This window comes from Homo sapiens, chromosome 7, assembly GCF_000001405.40.
Source record: "Homo sapiens chromosome 7, GRCh38.p14 Primary Assembly".
NCBI lineage: Eukaryota > Metazoa > Chordata > Mammalia > Primates > Hominidae > Homo > Homo sapiens.
Window position 1 is genome coordinate 121,157,421 of NC_000007.14, and position 27,231 is coordinate 121,184,651.

At 35.8% G+C, this 27,231-nt stretch overlaps 1 protein-coding gene and 1 long non-coding RNA gene across 6 annotated transcripts in view, besides 2 other annotated features; one reads left to right on the plus strand and one right to left on the minus strand.

Annotated features, from left to right (window-relative positions):
- The window catches only part of CPED1 (cadherin like and PC-esterase domain containing 1), a 308,732-nt gene that overhangs the window by 168,710 nt on the left and 112,791 nt on the right, over nucleotides 1-27,231 (plus strand). The gene's annotated exons all lie outside the window — the stretch shown is intronic.
- The window catches only part of LOC124901735 (uncharacterized), a 122,886-nt gene that overhangs the window by 13,557 nt on the left and 82,098 nt on the right, over nucleotides 1-27,231 (minus strand). The window contains exon 3 of the long non-coding RNA XR_007060494.1: nucleotides 1-23,244. This exon is cut by the window's left edge and continues 13,557 nt beyond it. This is a non-coding gene — a long non-coding RNA (uncharacterized LOC124901735). The remainder of the gene's footprint in view (nucleotides 23,245-27,231) is intronic.
- Nucleotides 21,571-21,730: an enhancer, noted in NCBI's record as "active region_26558". NCBI's record gives its function as "activates an Ori minimal core promoter by ATAC-STARR-seq in GM12878 lymphoblastoid cells {active_cell/tissue: GM12878}" and the evidence as "EXISTENCE:reporter gene assay evidence [ECO:0000049][PMID:35858748]".
- Nucleotides 23,100-23,329: an enhancer, noted in NCBI's record as "active region_26559". NCBI's record gives its function as "activates an Ori minimal core promoter by ATAC-STARR-seq in GM12878 lymphoblastoid cells {active_cell/tissue: GM12878}" and the evidence as "EXISTENCE:reporter gene assay evidence [ECO:0000049][PMID:35858748]".

Sequence of the window (27,231 nt, forward strand, 5' to 3'; positions counted from 1 at the left end):
TTAATGGGGAAGATACCAGTAGAGGAGGGTGTGAGCAACGGGGTGTGTTTCTAGCTGTAGGATTGACCAGTAGCTCTGTGGCCAGTAGCCAGTTCATAGTTAGGCCATTGGTGAGTCTTGTGTTCCAATGTCACACTGAACTTTGGAGTTAGGAGGATCTTTGACATCTAACACCTCACCCTGCATATCAGTAAACCTCAATAATTTGCCAAAGTCCACCATCAATAATTGACCAAAGTTCATTGCCAGTCAATGAACTTTGCCAGCAGAGTAAGGTTGAGAACCCATGAATCAGGTATCAGACCCGCTGGCAGTTTGTAGTTGTGCCTTATGTAGAAGGGCTATCGGCATCCAGACCTAGACACGGTTCTTGAGTTCCTGAAAATGAATAAAGTGAATGAATAAAATGAGTAAAATGAATGCAGGATTGCCAGTTCACTGACAATTTACCCTCCCTGGCTGAAAAAGTTCCCCATTTCTTCTTTAGAATATTCTTTATAATATTGACTTAGCTCTTCTATACCCTTACTGGTTAAATCTTAGTGGCATTGTCTTGATATCATAAAATATAAAAACTGTAAAAAATTTTTTGATGAAAGGGATGCATTATATGCACAATTATAATTCATTACTTTAATAACCCTCCTTCAGTGATATCTCCAAGGATGAGACCTACATTGGTAATCTGCAAATGTTCAATAGCCAATCAGCAAATAGGAAGTAATTATTGGGTCATGGTATCAACATATAAGAGATAATTGTTATATTAAGTTCTGCTGTTTAAGGGTTTGCATGTTTGTTATAAATTAAACAAATACATTTGACTGAGGCAATAGTGGTACAGAATGAAAAAATAATGATTTGTGTAAAGCCCCCAAAATAGCTGCACTGACTGGGAGTCTTTGACATCCTCTTTCCCATGCTAAGTCCATCTGTGATCACGATAACCCCAGTCTGGCATTCAGCCCTCCCTGCCAACTGGACACATGCCGCTGATGAACAGCTTCTCACCCCCTTTCATAACCAGAGCACAAATATTAGATGAATTTCCTTTGAACCTTGCTTCCTCTTGGCTCTTAACATAGTCTAGCTCCTTAGAAGAAACATTTCAGGTTCTGGGAGACACAGAGTCCCTTATTAATCATCTTTTTTTTTTTTTCTGGAGGAACAAATATTAAAAAAATTTTTATATTTCTCCAAGGTAATAGATACTGTGTATCATGATTGGAAAAGATGTCCCACTTCTTAAATATTTAATTAGAATCTGTCACTGCAGGATATGGAATATTAACCATCTAGCCCTTAAAAAGAGTACTAAGGTTTCTCTGCATAACAATAATACTATTAATAATAAGAAACGATAGTCATTTTCTATTTGATGCTTCTTCCAAGAACTTATTTCTTTAGACACTTCCATGTGTAACTAGCCAGACAACAGCCAATCCATATTTAAATAACTCCATGTAATAAAATAATGTTTTTCATGTTAAGAGGAAGGATTCCAGAATGTTATATTCTTTTTAATGCCATTATCCAGTTAGAACACTTTTAACCATAACAATAATAATTTCCAGCTATCCCAAATCCTAAAATAAAGTGCCAACCCCCCGAAATATATTTCGTTACTGAAACATGTGTAAACAATTATGAATATCTAAACCATACTGGTATTGGTTTTCAGACTCTCTCCAAAACTGTAGGGAAAAAAATGCCCCTAGTGAGTATGTTGATAAATATATTCGACTTCAAAAGTTGCTTTTGCAGACCCAGAGAATAAAGATTTCACTTTTTATTGGGTATGTAAAAAAAATGGTATAAATTTTAGATTTTACGTTTCAGAAAGAGAAAAAGACATCTATACAATTTACTCTTCTGATTTGTAAAACTCAAGTTTATTCAAAACTGCACCAGAATCTGTGAGTGGGGAGTGATCAATTGGAGTTGAGATTATAATTTGGGGGAGATCAATGAGGGCCTCTGACTTGATCAGAAGTTTTTGTTTTTGTTTACCTCTTCAAAAAATTCAGTAGAAATACATGGATTTGTTATGCCGGGTACATGGATTCATTATGATAAGAAAGAATTTGAAGTTAGATACATATTTAAATATTAAAATGTTTAGTTCAAAAGTATTTTTAAATGAACCTACCTCTTATTGTTACCAAAAGAGGCAATCCCAATCTTATTTAAATTCCATTTTAAATGGCGTGGATTCCCCAACCCATTAGCAAAAATATTGTTCAAGATGGTGAAATAATTGTGGTATCTTTTTAAAAACTCTACAATTAGCTAACACTCTGTTGTTGTATATTACTCTTGTCTCTCTCCCTCACTCGCACACATACATGCACACACATGGTAAACTTCTCCAGGCCAAAGCTTAGGTCTTTTATCATCCTCACGTAGCACAATGCCTGGAAAGTTCTTAATATTTGTAAAATTAAATGATACTGTTCAAACCAAATACAAAATTAAATACATGCCCTATTTTAAAAGTTATGATCTAGGTTACATTAATATGACATTCTTGAAAAATGTTAAAATGCATGATTACATTTATGGGGTATTTTTGCATATATAATTTTTAAATTGTTTTAGCTTTGTGTTTTGAAATAATATTGAACTTGTGAGTTGAAAAACAGTATAAACAATTCCTATACACTTTACATCCAGATTCACCAAATTGTTTTTTTTTAATTTTTATTTAATTTTAAATGTTTATGGATATATAGTAGGTGTATGTATTTATGGGGTACATGAGATTTAAAAATGCTAAATGCATCATTACATTACATCACTATTACATTATATCACTATGACATTACATCACTATTGCATCAGAATAGTGTTGATATCCCTGTGCATGAAGGTTGTATGAGTACAGTTCCTCTTCTCCTTATCTTAGTAAAAGAAGGCCTCCTTAGCCTCAGACTTTCATATATTTGGCTGCAAGAGAGATATGAGGGGATAGAGAGCGAGAAGAGGTGAACTTTGGGGAATGTATTGTTCATGAAGAGAGACTATGTCCCCCCAACCTGCTCCCAGAGGGGGAAGGGAGAGGGGTCCATGATTTCTCCTCTTAAGGTAATCACCTGTGAAGCTTAGAGATGACTTCAAGAGGGAGAGAAAATTGCTTGTTTACCTGGCTGAATATCTGCTTAGTAACAGGGTCTGAGGAATGGCCTTGTACTGCCAGAAAGGGAGAAAGAGAGTGATGAGATACTGCTGCTGGTAAGGTTCGCCAGGCTAAGAAGGGGCAAGGAGCAGTCCCCTGAGTTCTCAGGAATTCGAGGTAGAGCTATATCTGTCCCAGGCCACAGTCCCCAGAGTTAAAGCTGTAGAAGGTAGAAGAAATGGGGTTTTGTATGTAGGCTTCTCAGGGACCCAGCAGGAGATGAAAAGATACCTGAGGCTTTTGATCAGGATCAGCTGGAAAAGGTAGCTGAGCCTCTCAATGCTCCAGACAACTGCCTCAACATCATGGCTTTTTTGAGGCTACCCCCCAACAATGAGACAATGATCGAGGTCAACAGGGATGACCCCCAAAAGATTTATTTTGCCATCTTCTCCCACCTTAAATCAAAAGGAAAAAATTTAGGAAAGTTATGAGGGAACGGACCCCATTCACCACCTCCAACCCTTCCGTGTTACTTTTTTTATTGCTGTGCAACAAATTACCACAAATGTAGCAACTTTTAAAACAACATCCATTCAGTAGGTCAGGTTTGGTAGCTTAGAAATCCAGGGGCAGTGGGACGGTGTTCTCTGCTCAGAGCTCAAAATCTAAAAGTGTTGGCCAGGCTGAATTCTTGTCTGGAACCTCTGGGGAAGAGCCCACTGACAAGCTCACTGGGGTTGCTGGCAGAATTCCCTTACCTGCAACTGGAGGGTTAAGGTCCTTGTTTCCTTACAAGCTGCCAGTCCAGGACTGCTCTCAGTTCCCAGAGGCTGCCCACATTCCTTGCCACCTGGTCCTTTTCATCTCCTAAGCCAGCAATGGGGACTCTCACACCTTGAATCTCTCTCCCAGGATTTTTCTCTCTCTGTCTTTCCTATCTCTGACCTCTAGACCCAGATTTTAGCTCCCTAATTTAAGGTCAACTGATTTGGGAATTTAATTACATGTGCAAAATCTCTCCCAGCAACACCTAGATTAGTGTTTGCTTGAATAACTGGAGGAAGATGGATATACATCAAGGGCCAGGAAGAATAAGAGCTATCTCAGAATTAGACCTGTCATACTTCTCTGCCTACCATAAAGAGTGGGAGCTGCAAATCTACATTTCCCTGGGGGAAAGCTTTGGATCAAAATGAGAATAAAGTTTTAGTGAAAATGAGACTTTTAATAACTGGCAATTACTAAAGTGTAATGATACAGGACTTTAGTATCGTGAAGGGAACCAGATCCATTAAGAAAGGGGGTAGGTTTGTCAACATAGCAGGATAGTAGCAGTTATTCAAAAAAAATAAAATTATTTCTCATTTATTTATTTACCTTACAAGTTGAGATTCTTCAATTAAAACTATTGTCTATGATTGGAGTAACCTCACACAGTAGAGCAGTCTCTTGTAGTAAATGCCTACACTGTTCTTGTCAGATTTTACCACTTTATAAGACAACCATATGTGATGGGCAGTATCATCACAGAAAACAAGTGGCAGACCTGGGACTTAAGTCCATAAAGTGTTGCAAACACAAATCTTTTCAGACATGGCTAATATAAATGACAGAATTAGGCCAAGTGTAGGCAATAGGAACTGGTGAGGACTATGGCTAAGTGGAAAGCATATGCCCTGTTAAATGTGAACAGCAACTGCTCAGGTCAAGATATTTGCTGCTACTTTGGAAGGATGATTCAGTATTGTGGAATCTCCTAATTCTTCCAAAGAAACCTAACATTTGAATTTTAATGGAAGACTTCTCAAGTTTTACATATTGATAACTAATTTTTAAAAGGGAAGCCTCTGCAAGGCAAACAAGTAAATAAAATTCTGTGATCAGATTCCGCACAGAGAACATCAGTTCATGTCTTCTGATATAATCCAATGCACTCATACCATAAATGATAAACTTAATGTGTGTGTGGGAGGAAGGATGGTAATTGAAGAGAAGGGATACAATGACTAGAACAATTTATATTGTTAATTCAAAAAAACCTACTTTGATTTGTTTTTTAAAATAAAGAGGATTTACTAGCAGATTTCACTGAAAAAATCCAGATATTCCAAGCTCCAGGTGAAGTTTGATTCAGTGCTTAAACAATGTCATCTGTTTCCTCTCCATCTCACTGTGGTGTATTTTAGTTGTTACCTCACCCTCAGACTCCACATGGGAGCCTTCAGGCAACTGCAGGTTCTCTCAGATGTCCACACATGTGGTCATGCTGAACCAAAACCTCACATCACTTTCCTGGGAGTTCCTGTGAAATATGCATAAATATCATTATCACTGATTGGATTTTGTACCCAACTACTTACTACTGATTGATTTAAGCCAATGAAGTCTAACCCTAGAACTGGTAAGAGGCCAATTCCTCCAAACCTCATAGCTAAGCATAAACAAAATCAATTCCCAAAGGAAATTAGAAATACTCTTTTAAGAAAGACAGATGCTGGGAAACAAAGAACAAAGTCTACCTGAGGTTTATCTTCTGAATATCTCCTCCAGTTCTAGGACTTAAAAGATGTCTATGAAATATCTACTTCCAGTCTCAACTCTCCTCATGGACTCCAATCCATTTATCCAACTGCATTTGAACCACCTTTTACTTAGATAACCAACCTTCAATCAAACATCTCTAATGTCATTTCATCATTTCTACCCCACTCCCCACAACATTCTATTACATCTAATTTTTTAGTCAATGTTCTTGTGCAGGAAATAGAAACCAACTCTGGCTAACCTAAGCAGAAAAGGAACTTTATTCAAAACATATCTGGTAGCTTACAGAATTGAGCTATTGTGGGAAGACTATAGAAGCAGAAAATGGACAGGAATCAAGGGAAACAGGAGGAGCTGCAGGCAAAGTACCACCCCGACTCCCACTGTCACTGGACACACTCTCTTCTCCAGAGCCTACAGGCTGCTGCTTCTGCCTTTGCTGCTGAACATCAAGGCCATGAACAATTTCTAAACTGTCCTATCTTACTTGTGTCATTTGTTCCAAATTTGAAATCTTACAGTGGGGCATCCAGTTAGCCACATTTAAATCACATGTTATTGTTCTGCTCACTAGACAGAGCAGGATTACTTGGCATTTATAGTATAGGATTCCCTCTAAATAAGAGAGGGTTGAACAATGGGCCATGAAAAAATGACAAGTGTCCTGAATTCCTATATTTTATGGAGCCTCACAACAAGACAGCTATCAGTTCAATATAAATAAGTCCATTCTCATACCCATAGCTCTCCAAAGATAAAATAAATATGCCTTCTCAATGGGCAACAGGTTTGTCTTTAAAGTATCCCAAGAATAGACTCATTGACCACTTGGTGGCAATATTAAAGAAAGAATTCAGGCATCACAGGGTTGGATAGACCAAATGATTTTTTAAAACCTCAATAATCTAAACATTTTAGTTAGAAGTATGTCCTCAGTCCCAATTTACTGCTAGGTGCTCTGCTCTTTCTTCCACTATTTGTGTGTTTGTAAATATTAAGGAACAAAAGCTCAGAACATCACAAATCTGATTTGAAGGCCCTAATAAGACCTTGTGATCACTTCCTTTTCCAGATGCCCCAGGGCATGGCCCACTGCTGGATACTTGGCCCAGGATTTAAAGGGGCTGTGTGCCACTGTGGATTTGGAGGATTATATCCACAATTTGCCACCCAATTCCTCTCTGGTCTAGTACACTTCTTTAGTTCACTTCTTAAGTTTCATCTAGGCCTTAAGTGTTTCTGACTGATTATGAGCAATGTAGCAACTGAGGAATCCCCTCCCCGAAAGACAGTAGGACTATGTTGACCAGGATACTGGCTTCACTTCTTTCGTTCCTCTCTTGTCACTGCTTTTCCTCATCCTAGTGATTCTCAAGCTTAAGCATGCATTGAAATTTCCCAGAGGGCTTATTAAAACACAGACTGCTGGCTTAAACCCCAGGTTCCCACTCAGTAGGTTTAGGATGGGGCTCAAGAATTTGCATATCTAGTGACTTTCCAGCTGATGCTGATGCCATGCCTCTTGTCCCCAAACTGCGCTTTGAGAACCATTGTCTTTTACTACCCCTAAGCTGATGCCTTTTCTTTTTCATATAAAAAGCACCTGCTTTTATCATTATGTAGCTCAGGTGCATTCTCTTTTCAATACATTTCTTCCATATTCCATTTATTTGTCTGATAGGAAAGGCTATTTCTTTACCTCTCAAAATACCCTGTCTTTGTGTGTGAAAAGACTAAATTTCAAGTAATGTCACCAAGGAGATAGTTTTATTAGGGAATAAACACCTTTTAGTGGTACTTCCCAAAACTTGACTTCTAGTCCTATATTGTTCACTCTGTATTCTTTATGACATAAATGTGTCTTCATTTTCTCAACTTTTCTGACTCTTCCTATAAGTGATTCTGAACATCAAAGGTATTTTTCTAAGTTTCTTCTTGAACTCTCTGAAATTTTAAAATTCATTGTTTTCTTACATTTGTGTATTTCAATGATTGTTTTGCTAACATAAATTACTATGTTTCTTAAGTTTTATTTGCCCTTGTTAAACATAATTTAAATCTATAAAAACAAAAAGGAACAAAAAAGGAAAAGTAATATCAAGCATCAGATAAAAGATGTGCCAAAGTAGGATATGTTGGATATAAACTTCACTTAAGTATCCAGTATATAAACTTCACTTAAGTATCCAGTAAGTGTTTTTTCTTGTTTCTTTTTGGTGTTGTTTGTAACTGTTTTTGAGAAAGCAGTGTCTAAAAGCAAAAGTAAATTTCCTTTTGTCAAACTTTAAAAATTAGAAACTCATTAACTGACCAGTAATGAAAATAAAGGATCTGTTCATTAATGACCAAATTCATGTTTAAGGACACAATTTTGTATGAGTAGCTTCAAATAATCTTTACCCCAGTCTTCCTACTATTCAATCATGAAAGAGTGATAGTATGTTTAGTAATCATTTGACCAAGTCATACATCATTAAATATGTCCTTTTCTTAGAATTAACACCCTCTATACTTTAATTTCCTTTCCTTTCATTCTTTCTCCAATATTTAGAGACCTCATCAGAGTTCACAATATGTCCCCACCCTACTTCAGTCCCCTGGATGATTAACCACCACTAAGTCTGAAGTTTCTAAATTGTTACTTTTCTTCTTTTTGGCATGTGTTGGGGGAGAGGTAAAATTTTTACAATTCAGAGAAAGACAATATATTTTAAGATTGGAACTGATAAAGATCAAGCATTTCTTTTGATTCTGGCTTTCATTTAAATCATTTGCATTCCAATTATTTGTTAGCTTTCTAAATGGTCTCTTCAGCATCAAGCTAAGATATGATTGGATGTATCTGTGGCTTTTATAAACTCTGTACTATTGAGGGTCATCCAAGTTTTAGAAACATTGTAATGTATGTGGCTATTTTGACAAATCAACATCCTTCTTATTGAATCAGTTTAATATATCTGTTTTTGCTCACATTAGAACGCTAATTATGTAAACACAACTTACCCACCAGCTCTGCCACAAGGGCCTGAGTGCATGGCAAAAACAAAAAAAAACAAAAAAAAAACATTTCACCAGAAGACCACATTTTGTATGTTATTCAATAAGATACATGGATTGGGTGTGGCATCAGAAGATTTGAATCTATGTGCTAGCTTTATCGCTTATTACCACAATGACACTGAGCAAGCCACTTAAGTTCTCGGAAAATTGCTATGATGTATAAAATGGACATAATTTATACTTGCCCCAACCTATTTCCCTGGATTGTTATTAAGAATAAAATGATAATGGATGCAAAAGACTTTCGCAAGTTATGAAGTATTATACAGATGAGACATATATTATATTTACTTATATATTAGACATACTGATACATTTTAAATGATTCCAGTTCATCCTTTTTTTGAATTTCAGTTAAATACACATTCTAACATCTCACTCAGGAAAAAAGGCTATTGTTTTCTTTGATAATAAACTGAAATATTTAACTAAAATTGTATGAGCCTGTATTGTAAAAACAACTCATGATGCTCTTCTCCCTGCCAGTTCCCAAAGGATATTTATCTTAGAATTTTAAGAGGTAAAATTATTTTGGTTCTTCTTCTTTTTGGAGTAATGCTGTTTTTCTCATTCCTTTTAAAGTTAAGAATCATGTAGCATTAAAAAATATATACAGTAGGCTATGGCATTTTCCTAGTTGCTACAAGAAATAAATGTAGGAGAAAGTTCTTTAATGTAAAAATTCCTAACTGTTAACAGATCGTGAAAATCAGCAACAACTGTTGTGCTGAGGATCATGATCTACAAGTAGAGGGCAGATAATTCCACTGAGATGAAAAGAGTGCGTCTGGTGTTTGAGCTGTGGCCACATTTGACTTTCATGTCCTTTTGGGACACAACACACTTTGTGGAAGAAGAAAGTTAATGCAGCTGCCTTCGCTAATCATTCAGTGTGACCCAGCCCCTCAGGGAGGAAGGTAAAAACAGCTACACTCTGAGACCCACCAACCTTGCTGATTAACAGCAAATGCTGGTAAAGTGACCCTCTAAGTCTGTCTAGCCCATCAGGCCTAGAAATGTAATTTAGATGATTATCTCTATGCCCATTAAACCTTGTGACCTATTGCAGTCCGTTTGAAGTTGGTCTGCTTACACTTGTTAATAGGAAAAAAAGAAGGATTAACTCAGAGGTCATGAAATCAGAGTGCAGCCAAGATGATGGCAACAGAGCATAGGAAACCTTCCTTGGCCCCTGTAGAAGTGAGGAAGAACCCTGAGAATAAGGGGCTGCCAACAGAATTCATTTCTTTATGGAAAAAAGAGTTCTTTGGAATGCAACCAAGATTGAATCCTTCACCCTCCACTAGTTCTGGAGAGTTTTGTTTAATTTATAAGCATCGTATTCTAACAAGGTGAGCAGTCATGTTTAAGATCATGGGATTTATGAAAAGGATCACAGCATAAAGTCTGCTTGAGAAACTTAATGAAGAGAATAGATGCATTGTCTGCATTCTATAACAATTTGAAACAGACACCATAACATATTTGAGATCTGATATAAAAGTTAAATCATTTTGTGTAAGCTGTAAGGTCTGAAGAAAACTACTAGAACCCATTAATTTTAGTTTACCTTTTAAAGTCTATTTTTTTTTTTTTTTTTTTTTTTTGAGATGGAGTCTCGCTCTGTTGCCCAGGCTGGAGTGCAGTGGAGCGATCTCGGCCCACTGCAAGCTCTGCCTCCCGGGTTCACGCCATTCTCCTGCCTCAGCCTCCTGTGTAGCTGGGACTACAGGCGCCTGCCACCATGCCCGGCTAATTTTTTTTGTATTTTTAGTAGAGATGGGGTTTCACCGTGTTAGCCAGGATGGTCTCGATCTCCTGACCTCGTGATCCGCCCGCCTCGGCCTCCCAAAGTGCTGAGATTACAGGCGTGAGCCACCGCTCCTGACCCAAAAGTCTATTGCTTTTAAACTCGAAAGAGCTGAGCTTAGTTCCTGAGGTCCTTGTTGGGCGCAGCTTCTCTATGTATGCAGAGCAGTTCATTACTGGCTTACATTCTGAACGCTATCATAGCGGGAGGCTCTCTTACTGGTCAGAGGTTTAATATGCTGAGAATGTTGCTCAAGTAAAAGCTCCTATCAGCTGACCTCTTTACTCACTGGATATTTAAACTTTCTCTTTCACTTTAAGAAAACCTGAAATAATTTTTAAAACTTACAATTCTTAAAAAGTGACTGACAAGGTCTTAATATTTTAAAAGTAGTCTTCTCTATCTAAAGAATCAAGACTTTGTATTCTCTTAAATATCACTTTTAACATATAATTTTATTTACTAAAACATGGTTCTGCATAATTTTAATTTTTAAAAATTTTTAAATTGTTGTGGGTATGTAGTAGGTGTATATGGGGTACATGAGATGTTTTGATGCAGGCATGGAATATGTAATGATCACATCATGGAGAATGGGATATCCAACCCTTCAAGCATTTAACTTTTGAGTTACAAAAAATCCAATTACGCTCTTTAAGTTATTTTAAAATGTACAATTAAATTATTATTGACAATAGCCTATTGTGATATCAAATACTAGGTCTTATTCATTCTATTTTTTTGTATCCATTAACCATCCCCCACCTCTCCTCCAGCGCTCCACTACCCTTTTCAGCCTTTGGTAACCAACCTTCTACTCTCTGTGTCTATGAGTTCAATTGTTTTGATTTTTAGATCCCACAAATAAGTGAAAACATGGGATGTTTGTCTTCCTGTAAAATTTCTTAGAAACAAGACTATTTATAAAGGTAGACACTTCAGTATGGCAAACTCTGCAAATGTTTCAGAGTTATAGGAAAAGGAAAAATCAAACAAGTTTAGAACCTCAATGAAGACTTTACTGTATACATTTATAATGGCTGATAACAGGAACCTAATATTCAAATACAACATAAATATGTGTATGTGCTTATAAAATATTCTAATGAAACAAATGCAATATTACAAGCTATTTAAAAATCTGAAATGCTATTGATAGGAGTTCAGAATGCATGTATAAATGAATATGTATACAAGTTTCAACATTAAATAGGTTCCGAGTCACTGTATTTTATAAAGACATCAAATTAACAAGCTGCCTATAGCTTTTAGAGATAAGTTAAATTAGCTAAAATTACATTCATAAGACAGTATTAAAATGATTGGATGAAAAACTAAGTTCTATAAAGAAGGTAATTGGGAAAATTAGGAAAAAGCAACTTTATTGAATATGAAATTTTTGATCCTATTTCCCGTTTTAAAAATGTATTTTTGTTTTCAATGGAATTTTCTGTTTTATATTAAGAATAGGATGGCATTGAATTAGATTTAGTTTTATTGGGAAGCAACAGATAATCCATGCTTTTTTGTTTCCATTAAGTTCTGATAATGATTAAAATATCATTTGATCATCTGATAATGATCAAAATATCATTTTGTTGAAATTTTTTACTGAAGAATATCATCAAATTTTGGTATGCCACTGAGAATACTAATGGCTAAACTTTTAAATTTGCCACTCGTGTATCCCAGTGCCTGATGTAATAAACATGCAATAAATATTTGTTGAATGAATGGATGATCTTATTGATCTGTGGCTAGTGAGTTCAGAGAGAAAAAGTGGCAACTAAAGTGATTCTTTTCACTCTAAATTCAGGATAATAGTGCTGAAATGTGATTTCCTCCAGGGACTGATAAAATAATTTTGAGTTAATCTCTAAGGTACATTCAAATATTTTTTACGTTGAAGGAACTGTGTTTGGATTTTTTTTTCTTTAGCATGGATGGCTCCAATAATGCAAATGGTTTAATCGATGTCTGTGGGAGGAAATCACTTCTTCCTTTGATCCCCACCTTACACTTAACACTTCCTTACACCTTACACTTCCCTATTTTACATGGACTACACCTTAGTGACACTTGCTTACATGCATATCTCCCCTAGATTTTTCTTCCTTGTCTTGCCATGCCTGCCACCTCACAAAGCACGTGGTATAAGGTCGATAGCCAGTGAGTGTTTGTGGAGTATGTGAATGATGAAGAGTGAGTCCATATATAAGAAATCTGTCTAGTTTTTGCAGCAGCTAACTCACTGCATCTCTCTTCAGATGCTCTATGCTCAGTGGCATCAGACACATCATCAGGACATACTGGAATTTGTGACCTTTTTCCTGTGGCTTTAAGCAGGTTGCCTGTACCTCTCTGAGCCTTGGTTTAATCATTTTTATGGAGTAGCTGAATTTTTCTGGCCCTTCTCACCCTGGGCCTCATTCTGCTTGGCAAAAGGTCTTTTGTGCTTCTCTGTATAAATTTAGGGTCTTTTGATTCACTACAAATTTTACTTGTTAACTTAATAAATATAATTAAATGAACTTACTAGTAATAGACAGAAAATGCTTAACACAAGGCCTGATGAATAATAAGTACTCAGTAAAAGTTAACACTTACTGTTATTATTATTAGTACATACCAGCTACAGTGCTGATTAAAATAGATATCTTCCGTCTTCTCATGGAGCTCACAGTCTAGTGGGTAAAACAAATGTTCAATAGATTATACAAATAATAAATTAGTTGTAATTGGTATAAATGCAATGATGGAGAAGATCAAAGTTTAATAAGAAATGAGTTTCTATCCTTTATTAAAATTCAAAAGGAGGCCAGGCACGGTGGCTCACACCTGTAATCCCAGCAGTTTGGGAGGCTGAGGTGGGTGGATCACCTGAGGTCGGGAGTTCCAGACCAGCCTGGCCAACATGGTGAAACCTCATCTCTACTAAAAATACAAAAATTAGCGGGTGTGGTGGCCCATGTCTGTAATCCCAGCTGCTTGGGAGGCTGAGGCAAGAGAATCGCTTGAACCTGGGAGGCAGAGAACCCAGTGAGCCAAGATCGAGCCACTGCACTCCAGCCTAAGTGACAGAGCAAGACTCTGTCTCAAATAAATACATAAAAAAAAAAATAAGAAAATTCAAAAGGAGATCTTCATGTCTCTTAGTCTACTAGTTTTGCCTACCAAGGAGGTTTTCTGTCATCATTAAATGATTTGTAAAGTGATTGTTAAATAATTTCTAATTTACTCAGTAAAAATGCCCCTGCTACCATTTAAATTTAGAATGTCTCTATGCCAAAACATTAAAATTACTCAAACTTAAATTCCTGCCTTTAATACGCTTTTACATATTTTCCAAAGACTGAGTTTGTTTAATAGAAGGAATACTTTACAATATCAAATGAAAAATGTAATGTCTAGAGTTAGAGGAATCCATAAACACTTATTGTCCAATTAGCTAGTAAATTTTCCCTGATTAAAAATAGCTGTATCTTCATTGGCAGCATACCATTTTCCCAATTCTGCTTTTATTCATATGATTGCAAATGTCACTAGAAGAATGCATTTTAAAAATATACAGTGCTGTTATATCCATATACCAGCCCCAACATCTCCTGAGCCTGTTCCCCCAGTGGTTTCTCTGGAACCTAAACATGTTATTAAACATAATATATTATAGCCTAGTTGAATCATCTTTGTAAGTCTCATTCATAAAGTAATGTTATGAAAATATTTGAAAAACCCTGAATATTTTCTTTCCCAGACTTTTCCTAATTTCCTGTAAACACATCCTGTGTATTCCTACCACAATAGATAAATGGGTATTTCTTACTGTTTTGAAATCTAACAATGCCTAGGAATTGGATATCTTGATTTAACCTTTCCTAAATTAAAATGAATTCATTATAAAATCAGTGAATATGCAACTATTAAATTGATTTCAAATGGGCAATAATGTATTTTCAACTATGACTTTGGAATCTGGAACCAGAAAGTCTTGGTTTGAATTCCTTTCTCTTTTAAAAATCTATTTATTTGAACCCTACTCTGAATAGGAAGGCGCTGAGGTGGCTTTCAATGACAGCTATATAAAAAAATAGATTGGTGAAATGGAGCTGGAAGGCAGGAAAGGTAAAACAACTTGTGAAGGTCAAACAGCTTGTGGTCACTCACAGATCACATCCCCTGGTAAGTCCCAGTTCTCTCTGTACACTGTTGAGGGTCATTAGGTCTACCCCGGGAAAGGTTGTGCTGGATAGGTAGTAATCGGTATCTTATAGCTTGAATGCTTGGAGAGACATATATTTATAGTATTACAGATAAATGATGATTTTTCTATAAAACTAGTGCTTAGTTTACAATGCGAAGCAGATTTGAAATCCAAGAGTATTTTTCTATCTCACAGTTTCATTAACCCTGTCCTGACTGAAATACTCTTGTTTTTTTTTTTTTATTTTGATGTGGAACAACTAGAGATATTTTTCATCCTTTAATATAGTTAATAAACTTCACATGACACTTAAAGATTATAGATTGCTGCTTTCTTCTAGAAAGGTAAACCAATTTAAATAAAATATGTTTAAAAACTTTATATGTTTTCATTCAGAATTTTGATTTATGTGTCTGCCCTTATAAAACATAAGGAAGACCTGACATAAGTGGATGGATGAATGAATGGAGGAATGGTTGGGTGGGTGGGTGGTTGGATGGATGGATACATAGATAGATAGATAGATAGATAGATAGATAGATAGATAGATGTATTAGTTAAAACTCTTGTATATTTTAGGACTTTAATATTACATGTCTAATTCTGCTAAAAAAGTCAGTTCCCAACTGGGATATAAATTAAGGAAACCTAGAGTAAATGCATATGATCGATTGCTCAATGTAAGGACAGAGCCAACTGGTTATGAAGAAGGCTTAGAAGAATAAGACAGATTTTGTATTGACAGCTTACAGATGTCCAGTGATTAATAGCTTCAAAGTTTATACTGAATGAAAGATTCTGAAGAACACATATCTACTGCCCTATGATAGTCATCTTTGTGTGTATACATATTTGAATTTCTATCTAGAAGTCAACATCCTTAAAGGCAGAGACCATTTTTGTTGGGCAGCTGACAGGGGGTTGGTATCTTATCATTTGGCTCAATGAACTGGCAGTTCTTCAGTAGTTCTTGTAACTAAATTATAATTGTAACAAAATAATACAAAATAATTTTAAGAAAATAATAGTGTTTACATCTCCATACTCATTTACTTTCACTACCCTGTGAAACAGGTACTCCTATTAATATCCCCACTTTATTTTTTTTAACTTTTAGGTTCATGGTTACATGTGCAGGTTTGTTACATAGGTAAATTTGTGTCACAGGGATTTGTTATACAGATTATTTCCTTACCCAGGTACTAAGCCTTTGTACCCGATAGTTATCTTTTCTGCTCTTTTCCTGTCTACCACCCTTCACCTTCAAGTAGGTCCCAGTATCTATTGTTCCTCTCTTTGTGTCCATGAGTTCTCATCATTTAGCTCCCACTTATAAGTGAGAAGATGTGGTATTTGGTTTTTTGTTCCTGCATTGGGAACAGCTCCATGCATGTTCCTACAAAAGATATGATCTCATTCTTTTTATGGCTGAATAGTATTCCATGGTGTATATATACTACATTTTCTTCAGTCTGTCACTGATTGGCATTTAAGTGGACTCCATGTCATTGCTGTTGTGAATAGTGCTGTAATGAACATTCACATGCACGTGTCTTTATGGTAGAATGATGTATATTCTTCCAGGTATATACCCAAAAATGATATTGCTGGGTCAAATTTCAGTTCTGTTTTTAGCTCTTTGAGGAATTGCCTGACTGCTTTCCATAATGATTGAATTGATATACACCCCCACCAACAGTTTATAAATGTTCCTTTTTTGCCGCAACATCACCAGCATGTGTTATTCCTCAGCATTTTAATAATAACCATTCTGACTGGTGTGAGATAGTATCTCATTGTGGTTTTGATTTGCATTTCTCTAATGATCAGTGATATTGAGCTTTTGTTCATTTGATTGTTGGCTTGTCTTCTTTTGAAAAGTGTGTATTAAAGTCTTTTGCCCACTTTTTAATGGGGTGATTTGTTTTTCCTTGTAAATTTAAGTTCCTTATAGATGCTGGATATTAGACCTTTGTCAGATGCATGGTTTGCAAATATTTTCTCCCATTCTGTGAGGTGTCTGTTTACTCTGTTGATAGTTTTGTTTGCAGTGCAGAAGCTCTTAAATTTAATTAGATCCCATTTGTCAATTTTTGCTTTTGTTGCAATTACTTTTGGCATCTTCGTCATAAAATAATTGCTCATTCCTATGCCTAGAATGGTATTGCTTAGTTTGTCTTCCAGCGTTATAATAGTTTTGGGTTTTACATTTAAGTCTTTAATCCATCTTGAGTTGATTTTTGTATATGGTGTAAGGAAGGGGTCCAATTTCAATCTTCTGAATATGGGTAGCAGTTATCCTTGCACCATTTATTGAATAGATAATCCTTTCCCCATTGCTTTTTTTTTTGTCAGCTTTGTGGAATATCAGATAGTTGTAGGTGTGCAGTCCTATTTCTGGGCTCTATATTCTGTTCCTTTGGTCTATGTGTCTGTCTTTGTACCAGTACCATGTTGTTTTGGTTACTGTAATCCTGTAATATAGTTTGAAGTCAGGTAACATGATGTCTCCAGCTTTTTTCATTTTGCTTAGAATTACCTTGGTTATTCGGGCTTTTTTGGTTGTTCCATATGAATTTTAAAATAGTTTTTTCTAGTTCTATGAAGAATATCATTGGTAGTTTGATAGCAGCGGCATGGAGTCTGGAAACCTCTTTGGACAGTATGGTCATTTTAACAATATTTATTCTTCTGATCCATGAACAGGATATGTTTTTCCATTTGTTTGTGTCATTTCTGATCTATTTGAGCAGTGTTTTGTGATTCTCATTGTAGAGATCATTCACCTCCCTGGTTAGCTGTATTCCTGGGTAATTTATTTGGTGAAAATTGTGAATGCGATTGTGCTCCTGATTTGGCCCTCAGTTTGGCTGTAGTTGGTGTAGAGAAATGCTAGTGATTCTTGTACATTGATTTTGTATCCCAAGACTTTGTTGAAGTTGTTTATCAGCTAAAGGAGCTTTTGGGCTACGACCGTGGGGTTTTCTAGATATAGAATCATGTTGTCAGCAAACAGGGATTATTTGACTTCCTCTGTTCCTATTTGGATGGCCTTTCTTTCTCTTGCCTGATTGCTCTAGCTAGGACTTCCAATACTAGGTTGAATAGAAGTAGTGAGAGGGCATCCTTGTCTTGTGACAGTTTTCAAGGGGAATGCTTCCAGCTTTTCCCCATTCAATATGATGTTGGCTGTGGATCTGTCATAGATGGCTATCTCAAGAGATGCAGAAAAACTTTCAATAAAATTCAACTTCCCTTCATGTTATAAACTGTCAATAAACTAGATATTGAAGGAACATACTTCAAAATTATAAAATTCCCATTTTATTGTGACAGAAACTGAGGCAGAGAGCATTTAAGTGTCTCATTACACAGGATAGTGGATGGATTGGCTTTCAAATGTAGGTAGTTTGGTTCCAGAATCTTATACTCAAAGCCAGTCTTCTATTCTACCTTAGCTAAAAAGCATCAATGTTATTACTGAAATAACACTTATTTCTTGAATTCAAATGGGAATATTTCAAGGAAGTTCCAAAATTGGAGATGAATTATATTTAAAACAAAGGTCAAATTTTTAAGTTAAAATAAACTTTGAATTAACAGCTACCACATTTTGGAACTTTTCAATACAACAAGACTGTTGACCCACTGTAAGAAAGAGCGATAGAGGAAGACTGATGCCAGCACCAGAGTGAGCCAGTGAAGGACAAGAGAAGCTCCGCAGCAGTTTTCTATAACAAATAGATTTGTCAGGCAAGGCAGCTGGACCAAGGGATATGGTTCATCTTTTTTTCAGAGAAACAGTGGCAGCAGGGGTCCAAGAAGCAGCAAATTAACTTGAGGTGAGTGCCCTCCTATAACGGACAGTCTAGAATGTATACCGCTTGGTGATTTAGTATGACAAGTAGGTGTAAATTACTTGAGGAATTAGTCTAATACTAGCAGGACTCTGGCCATAGGGATAGGGTTAAATAAATAACTCGAGAGTTTTATGTGCTAAAAACAATAGACAAACAATATCCCTCCATCCTCCCCGCTGGAAAAAAAAAAAAAAAAAAAAAAACACCTCTGGAAATAACTTGAATTGCATAGTTAGTTAAATAACTAATAGTAATAAGCCTCCTATAATTGAAATCAGGGAATATCCATAAATAAATCACAAAGTTGCAACATTAATAGGATCCCTTACTATTTCTTTCTCACTATTTCCTTTCATTTTCTCTGATTTCTTTTTTTTTTAAACATGTTTTACAGGGAATCAATAGCTTTTAAAATATCACCTTTGTAATACTGAAAAAAAACACAGTTGGAATATTACATTTAGTTTTGGTTTGCACATTACTAAATACATATAAGCCAACTGGATGGAGTTCAGAGAATAACAAGAAAAATTAAGAGGATGAAAGGATTGATTTATTAGCCATGATTAAAGGAGTCAAATATGTCCACAGGGAAAGGTGAACGTCATGACAATAGCTCAAAAATATCTGAAAGGTGTAAACTCCCCTGAAGAGGACCATTTTTAAATTTTTATAACAGCAATTATATCTTGCCAAACAGATTTGGTTTAGAAAGAAAATTGCTACTTTATGCATTTATAGAGGCAGTGGAAAGAGCTGCGCTAATATAACTTGTTGTATGCCTTCTCCTATTTTGAAAAGGACCAAGGCAATCTGAAGTAAAATACAGGTTATTTATATTCTTTCTATCACAGAGATTTCTGCCATCCTTGGAAAGGAAGCATCTGTGATAATAGTGACTAGAAGTACTCCAAAGTATAGAATTGTTGATAGCTTTAAAGTAAATCTGTCATGTTCTGACTTGTAGCTACTTAATTTGACTGCCTAGGAAGTAAGAGAACTCTGGCAAAAAGAGACTTGCTTCAAAGCAGCAAAGAATGGCAGTAGCGTAGATTTTGGTATTTTGTTTGGTCTGTTGGTTTCTATGCATTCTCATTCCCAGAAGGTACCACTGAGATTTAGATGCATTGAGACTACATTCTTTTCTCGCCATTTCTTGTCTAGTAGTGTGCTTTCCTTGTGAGAGAGATGCAGGTTCCTTTCCTGTCTCTGTCACTTGCTAGCTTTTTGACATGAGAATAATAACATCTTACCTCCCTAACTTCAAGGATTCAATGATATGTGTGTGTGTTCGTGTGTGCAGTTGTCGAGCTCATAGAAAGTGCTTAGTTGATATTAGTTCTGTCTCCTTGCCTACTCACCATGTTTCTCTATCCGACTTTACAAGCTGTATTTAAGTCAATTTTGTACAAGTTCCTGATGTTGCCAATTTTTTATATTTTTCTAAAAAAGCAGAAAATGTGGATTTTATGTGAAAATTCTCAATTAAAAAACACTTTTTAAAAAGGTTTAAGCCAAGCCAAAGAAATGCATATATTGTGTACAAGCCAAACAAAATGCATATATTGCCCATATATTTACCTAAAATAATTCTTTCCATAAAGAGTTACACACATATAACAGTGCAACGGCTAGTTCCTTCCAAAGAGCAGTGAGGAGAAAGTGCTGTACTGCAGCTTGGCAATAATCCTTTCTGAAGTGGTCTTTAAGTTCTGCTACTATAATGTCATGACATGACATTTTGTAATAAGCTATGCTTCTTTCCCCCTTTTTCCTTCTGCCCCTACCTTCCTTCCATGCAGGAAGCATCTGCTGTGTTCTATTCTTATGACCAGGGGGTAAAGTTGTTATAGCATGAATGCAAGTAAGAAAATAAAGTCCATTAGATAATCTGGATTCTTCCCTACAGGAAAGGATTCTAGGATTTAATCCCTTATTGTCATCCCCAAGATATTACAGTTCTCTGAATTGGAGAACAGAAAGAAAAAGCAATGGGGAAGTAAAGGAGGTAGGTGCTAGGAAGTATTCACGAGGAGGGGCTCTTGAATCCAGATCTTTTTGTCAGAAGAACCACAAAGAGATTGAGGACCTAGTAGCAGAGAGGACCTCACCCTCACTTTTTGGCATGCAGCCTCTGAGGAGGGGGCAATGAACCACCAACTGGTGAAAAGAGGAGAAATGACAGTAAGGAATATTGGGAAAACAGCATCAGAGACAACACCACTGAATGAAAAAGCATCTAAAAGTTGCCCATCCTGACTTCCTTGAGGAATGGGTATTTAACTAGAAATTAAATTTCTTTTCAGAGAAAGAAAGTTACATTTTACACACCAAGTTTGTGGTCTTTGAAACTTGCACCTATTATACACATGCGTATTTTTGTTGTTGTTCTTGTTGTTGTTATGGTGAAGGGCATTAACTCTGTGCTGTAATGTAGAGGTAAACAGGGAATGGGGGACAGCTTGATGAGAAAGATCCACTTCAAGTACAATTGACGATGAATCATATGAATCTTAAACGTGGACAAAAAAGTTGTGCAGACAGGTGGTAAGGACTGTGCAAGATGTGACAGCCTACACTACAATGGCAAAGTACATGTGTCCCAAATTAAAATTGGAGGAATGGAATGCCAGGAGTGACAGAACCAAAGCAGTCAATCATGATGGAAGCATTTGAACTTAGATGACTGAGGGTGAATGGTGCCTCCAAAAATACACAGGGAAAGCAAGAAGAGCTGACCTTGTAGAGAATATGCTAATGTTCGCAGGACAAGTTGAATTTTTAAGGTACAGGTAGGTCATGTAGCAGGGTTGTCAGGCAACTAAATTGAAACCTGAAGGGGAATGTTGAGACCGGGATTGGAGATGCAGGTGTCAATGGTATAAATGTGATAACTTTGTGAAGCCAGGTGAGACTACCTAAAGAACAGGATGCAGCAAAGAGGTCCAAGGAGACAATCTATATTTAGAAGGTAGGAGAAAGTTTGGAGCCAGCACATACAGCAGAAAAACAAGGTCAGAGATATGGGAGGAGAACAAAGCTGTACCGTGTTTTGGAAACCAAAAGTGAAAGATGTTTCAAAATGGAGTGATCAGTGAAGTCAGGCCCTGAAGGAAAATGATGGGGTATGGGTGTTAGGACTATGAGCCAACCTGTTGGCCTAGTCATTTAGAAGGTTAGAGACCTTAAGATGAACTGTTCCCCTAGAATGGTGAGGGCAGACGCTAGGCTGCAAGCCTAAGAAATTAATAGCTGTGGAATTAGTAGCTGTGGATATAGATATACTCTGTAAGAAGTTTGGCACTGAATGAAATACAGAGTGATGGTTGGAGTAAGTCAAGCAAAGCATGTCAGGAAGTATCCAACTTAACATAGACCTTTATATCCTAGTGTATACATGTAATAAATTTAAAGGGTAGGGAGGATTATTCTGAAGATAAATTTATTCCCCAGACCTTGCTGAAGTACTATCACAATAGTGTGCAGAATGGAACGTTTCTGGCATATTCTTCTAAGCAGAAACAGAAGTTTTTTTCATGTGTCTATACCTTTAAGCCTTTAATTATGAAAATCACTTTATTTTGTTCATATTCTCATTTGATTTTCTATTGTTTACATGAATTGAAATGTGTTCAAATGTTTAAGATTTAGGATGAATAACAGCTCAATGGTAATGACTTATAAACCCAACATAACAGTTTATAGTTAGCTTCTTAGTCAACATGTATTAAAGGTCATTGTTCCTTAGCCTTGCCCCAAAGTAGTAAGGGAAGTAGTACATTTTAATTAGTATAAGACAAAGACAAATAAATTATATTGCTTTGATAGTCTGAAGTTTTGTTAGTAACCATTTAATGTTTTAAATTATTCACAATTTATAATACCTTGCAGTTTTTTAAGGGAAAAAAATGAAACTAACAATGATTGCACTGTGTTCTGTGATACACACTGGGATCTAAAATTTCACATTTAAAGTATAAAACTGATTTACTGTTATGTTTTTCTTTTTATTGTATGACTTTCACAAAGTACACATCATTTGACTATTCTCTCAGTGAATGAGATTGCTTGGATTTTCAGAATCTTGGAATAGTATCACATGGTGGTCCCAAAGACCAGATGATAGGTAGCTTTCTTCCTGACAAATTCCCAACACTTGGGCAAACTGCAAGAGATGTGTGTGATGATTCTTAAAGTGACTCATTATATTTTCATGTGAGTAGATTATCGCACTGCAGGAGAGACAAGTGTTTTCAGCTGATGGCCTATTTTACCTTTTTCCTATGTTTTAAAAGGTAACACACAAATGGATTCCGAAGATTTTAGAAATATATTTTTTCTTGGAAAATATCAACAATGAAATAAAAATAGACTTTTAATGTGGTAGCTAATTTGATTTTCTTTAAAAAAATTCTGAGGCTCTTAGTTTTTCTGCATTATCCTTTGAAGCCAATGGGACAATAATATCCTGAAATAATTATTTTAATACATCATGGAATTCATGACAAAATCTAGAATTACGTGATACATTATCTGTACACTCTTGTCTCCAGGGTTCTCTCAGTGGGTCACACCTTGGCACACACTTTCTGTTCTTCTTTCATATACTATTATTAGCCCGAGATTTTCATGCTCCATCAATTTTTCTTTGCTACACAATGGAGAAGAGAAGAGAGAACAGGAAGAGACTTAAATGCACCCTTTATGACAGGAACAGAACATGATTTTTAGATGATCTACCTATAGGCTTTAAAATTAATACCTCACCTCCAATACTTCCAGCGTAGCCTGAGACATGGAAGGTGGTTACTTTTAAAACTAAAAGTAATGTTCTTAGTTACTTTTAGGACTAATGTGATGATTAGCTGGGACATGTCTTAGCATTCTCTGACAGGATCGGATCAGGGTGGTCAGCCAGGGTTGAAACTGTGACTGTATGACATTTGATTTGGGCTTCATTTCATCTCTAAATGGACTTGAGGCTTTTTCACAAAATAATATTTTAAACTATAATTTTTCCATCATGTTCAAGAAATAGTCAACAGTAAGGGTTCTACTGTACTCAAGGAAACTGTATGAGATGAAGTGTGATGATTCTTAAATGGATTTATTGTGTTTTTGTGTGAGAGATGATCATACTGCAGGAGAAACAATGGTGTTCAGCTGAGCTTGTTTTATATATTTGTAAAAGGTGAATGGTTTCCCCAGTTTGCTTGACATGCAAGTATATTCTTCAGACAGTCTGTAAGGTTTACAAGCATTTCACTCACCATCTAAGAATAAAGAATATTCCACGCAGAGGGAACAATACAAAAAATACCCTGTAACTTGAAGTTTCCAGTAGCTAAAATTTTGAAATATTTACTTATCAGTTGGTAAAGAATGACTGTCCCCAGGAAAATTAAATCATATTAGAATCTCAATTGTTTTTTGGATGGAATTAAAGATATTTGTTTGAAATACATTTCTCAAAAAATATTGCTGTGATCTGTACATAAATACGTTATTGATTTTTAAAGATGTTTAAAAAATTTATATGTCAGCAAGATACCATAAAAATTCCTCTTTAATTTTCTAAGAGATGGTCATCATTTCTTAACCAAAATATCACCTTGACTAATATTAAAAGTTTGCAAATATTGTTGTTTGCATGAATAGATTTCTAACATTTTAGTCAACCTTTAGTAAAATTGTTAAAACCTATATCATCCATAAGTATGAGAAAGGTTCAATTATTAAGTTCCTTTTACAAATAAGAAAAATAAAACAACACAGAGTGGTTGAGTGACTTTCCACAGGTCACACACCTAGTTCCTGGCAAGGCTGGCATATTATTGTCAGATAACTCTAAATCAAGGAATATTAGATGCATATTAATTGGGCATATTGTAGTCTTACAACTTTTAATATGGTTCTGAGTTAGATATTCTTAGAGGAAACTAGTACCTGGAAATTTAAAAGTCACGTTTATTCCAAAATGAACCTGGGAAACTAGGGGGACATTTGTGTCTATATCAGCTGTCACACAAGCTTACTTCCCTCATAAAACTTTTTGTGCCCCAAACCCTTCTAACATGTTGCATATTTCTGTTATTTTAGACAATAAGAATCAATAAAAACCACTATAAAAGCTATGGTAACATTAGAATATGTCAGCCCGTGCTAAATACTTCAATTCGATGAGAGCTTTTTTTTTTTTTTTTAGTTTTAATGATGTTACATTTCCAGAAAAAAATACATATAAAATTCATAGAAATTGTGCCAGAAGAGTTAGTAGACCATGTTAAGGTATTTTTTACTGCATTAAAAACAGACTAGCTCTTAGCAAAATTAAAGAAGTTCACTTAATAGAGACAGTAACTGGTAATAGTAGGAGTGATGTGGCATTTCAGCAACCTGCCTGCCTGCCTTCCTTCCTTTCATTCCTTCCCTTCCTTCCTTCTTTTCTTCCCTTTCTTTCTTTATTTCTTCCTTTCTTTCCTCCTTCTTTGCCTCCCTCTCTTCCTCCCTCCCTTTTTCTCTCCCTCCTATCCCCTTTTCATTTCTCCTTGTTATTATTTGTTCTGTAGTTATTGAATGTCATTATGTTTCTAAGGCTGAGACTTCTATTTTAACTGATGTTCAGTGTAGCTTGAAATGACATGCCACAGAGGAATAATGCTGGTCAGATTGTAAGTTCTATAGTCAGCTACCCAGTCTGGGTTTAGATTCTAGTCCTCCGCTTGCTATTGGGATTACTTTGGGCAAGTTGCTTACCTTGTCTCTGTGATGGAGATCATACTGCCTACTTCACTGTGTCATTGCGAACATTAATTAGATAAGACAAGCTTCTATGTAGCTTGAGGACCACTGTGCCTGGTACATGGAAGGTGTCTGAAATATTAGTTTCCTCCTTTTTTTCCTCACTCCCCTTTATGCTAGCATTTTTTTCTTCAAAAACTTATTCCTATTTATTATCCTGAGTTCCTATCTTTGTCTTTTCAAAGAAAAAAAAAACTCAGTTTTGTTTACAAAGCCTTGCAAAAATGTATGAATCATCCAAGAAACTGCAGTTATTAATAGTTAGATAATTCATAGTAATTATGTGCTGTAGAACCTACAAGCTTTCCCCAAGTGCTGAGTGCTTATCTAAACTCTTTGAGCCTAGAAATCATTGGGCTTATGACAACCCAATGGGCTTTATCCCTGAAGATGTAAAGCTTCCACTCAGTTTAGAAATCCTTTTTCACAACTGTCACCAGGAAATAAAATGACATATGGCAATAAAAATTCAAATTTTAAGTAATATTTGCTTCAAAGTTTTCAAAACATTTGAAATCTAGAGTTGGTGACAGTTGTCAGCCAAGAGATATTTGTTTAATATTAACTTGAACATAGGTTTGAGAATATAAAGGACCCTTGACCTCAAGGGTATCCCAAAGAAAGAGAGGAGGACAGTATATGCTCTCAGAAATTCCAGATGTCCACAGAGTATTTTAGATGACTGACAGTCTTCTGTAAATTCCTTAAGGTACAGATTTTGTTTCCATGTTCTCTCACAGATCTAATAGACCAGGTAATAAGCAGTGGGTAAGTGGATGAATAGCTATAGCAAACTGTTCAAATAAATGTTTAGATTATGTGAAATACCTCAGATGTTAGTGGGGACTGGATATGAATAGAAGAACATAATGATATTAGTTTTCTATGTATTTTAATTTTCAGGATTTCAATTTTGCTTTCAATGCTGGTTTATAATATAAACTGAGAATAAAGCACAGAATTAGTTTAAGTTCTGGTAACTGGAAAAGTATTAGACTGTTGATGATTAAAGATTCATACAATTCACTTGGGGGTAGAGAACGACTGTTTTCCATACTTCTTTAAAAATTATTTCTTCACTTTGCAAGGCTGAGGTGGGCAGATTACTTCAGGCCAGGAATTCAAGACCAGCCTGGCCAACATAGTGAAACCCTGTTTCTACTGAAAATACAAAAATTAGCCAGTCATGGTGGCACATGCCTGTAATCCCAGCTACTCAGGAGGCTGAGGCAGGAGAATTGCTTGAACCCAGGGGACGGAGGTTGCAGTGAGCCAATATTCGCGCCACTGCACTGCAGCCTGGGTGACAGAGCGAGACTCTGTCTCAAAAAAAAAAAAATGTATTTTGTGTGATTCTTTTCTTTCAAAAGGAAGGAAGAAGAACCACAGTTGTATTTTTTAAGTGGATGTGGGAGTTTTGATTTAGCCATTTTTTTCTACTATTTAAGTGATTCCTCTAATAAAAAGGGGAAAAGAGTGTCTTAAGTTGCTGAAAAATCTGAGGGCAAACCAACAGTTTTTGTGAACAGTTACAAGAGTAATGTAGTTGAGATTTTTGTTTCATTTCAGATAAATGAGAAATAAAACATATTGCTACTTTAATTTAACCCTAAAGCTGCTTTTAATTATTTCTGAGTTTCACCACACCTATCAAAAGCCATGTAGTGTTTAATCTTTCTTGCTAAACTTTAGAAGGAACCCATTTTTCCTCTTAAGAAATTTTGCATTTTATTTCCTACAGAAAACTAGTGAGTGAGTTTTCTATTTCTTCCAACTTTAACAATATTAAAGATAATTCTGACTATTTTCTGAGTTATACTCTGTGTACACTTAACAA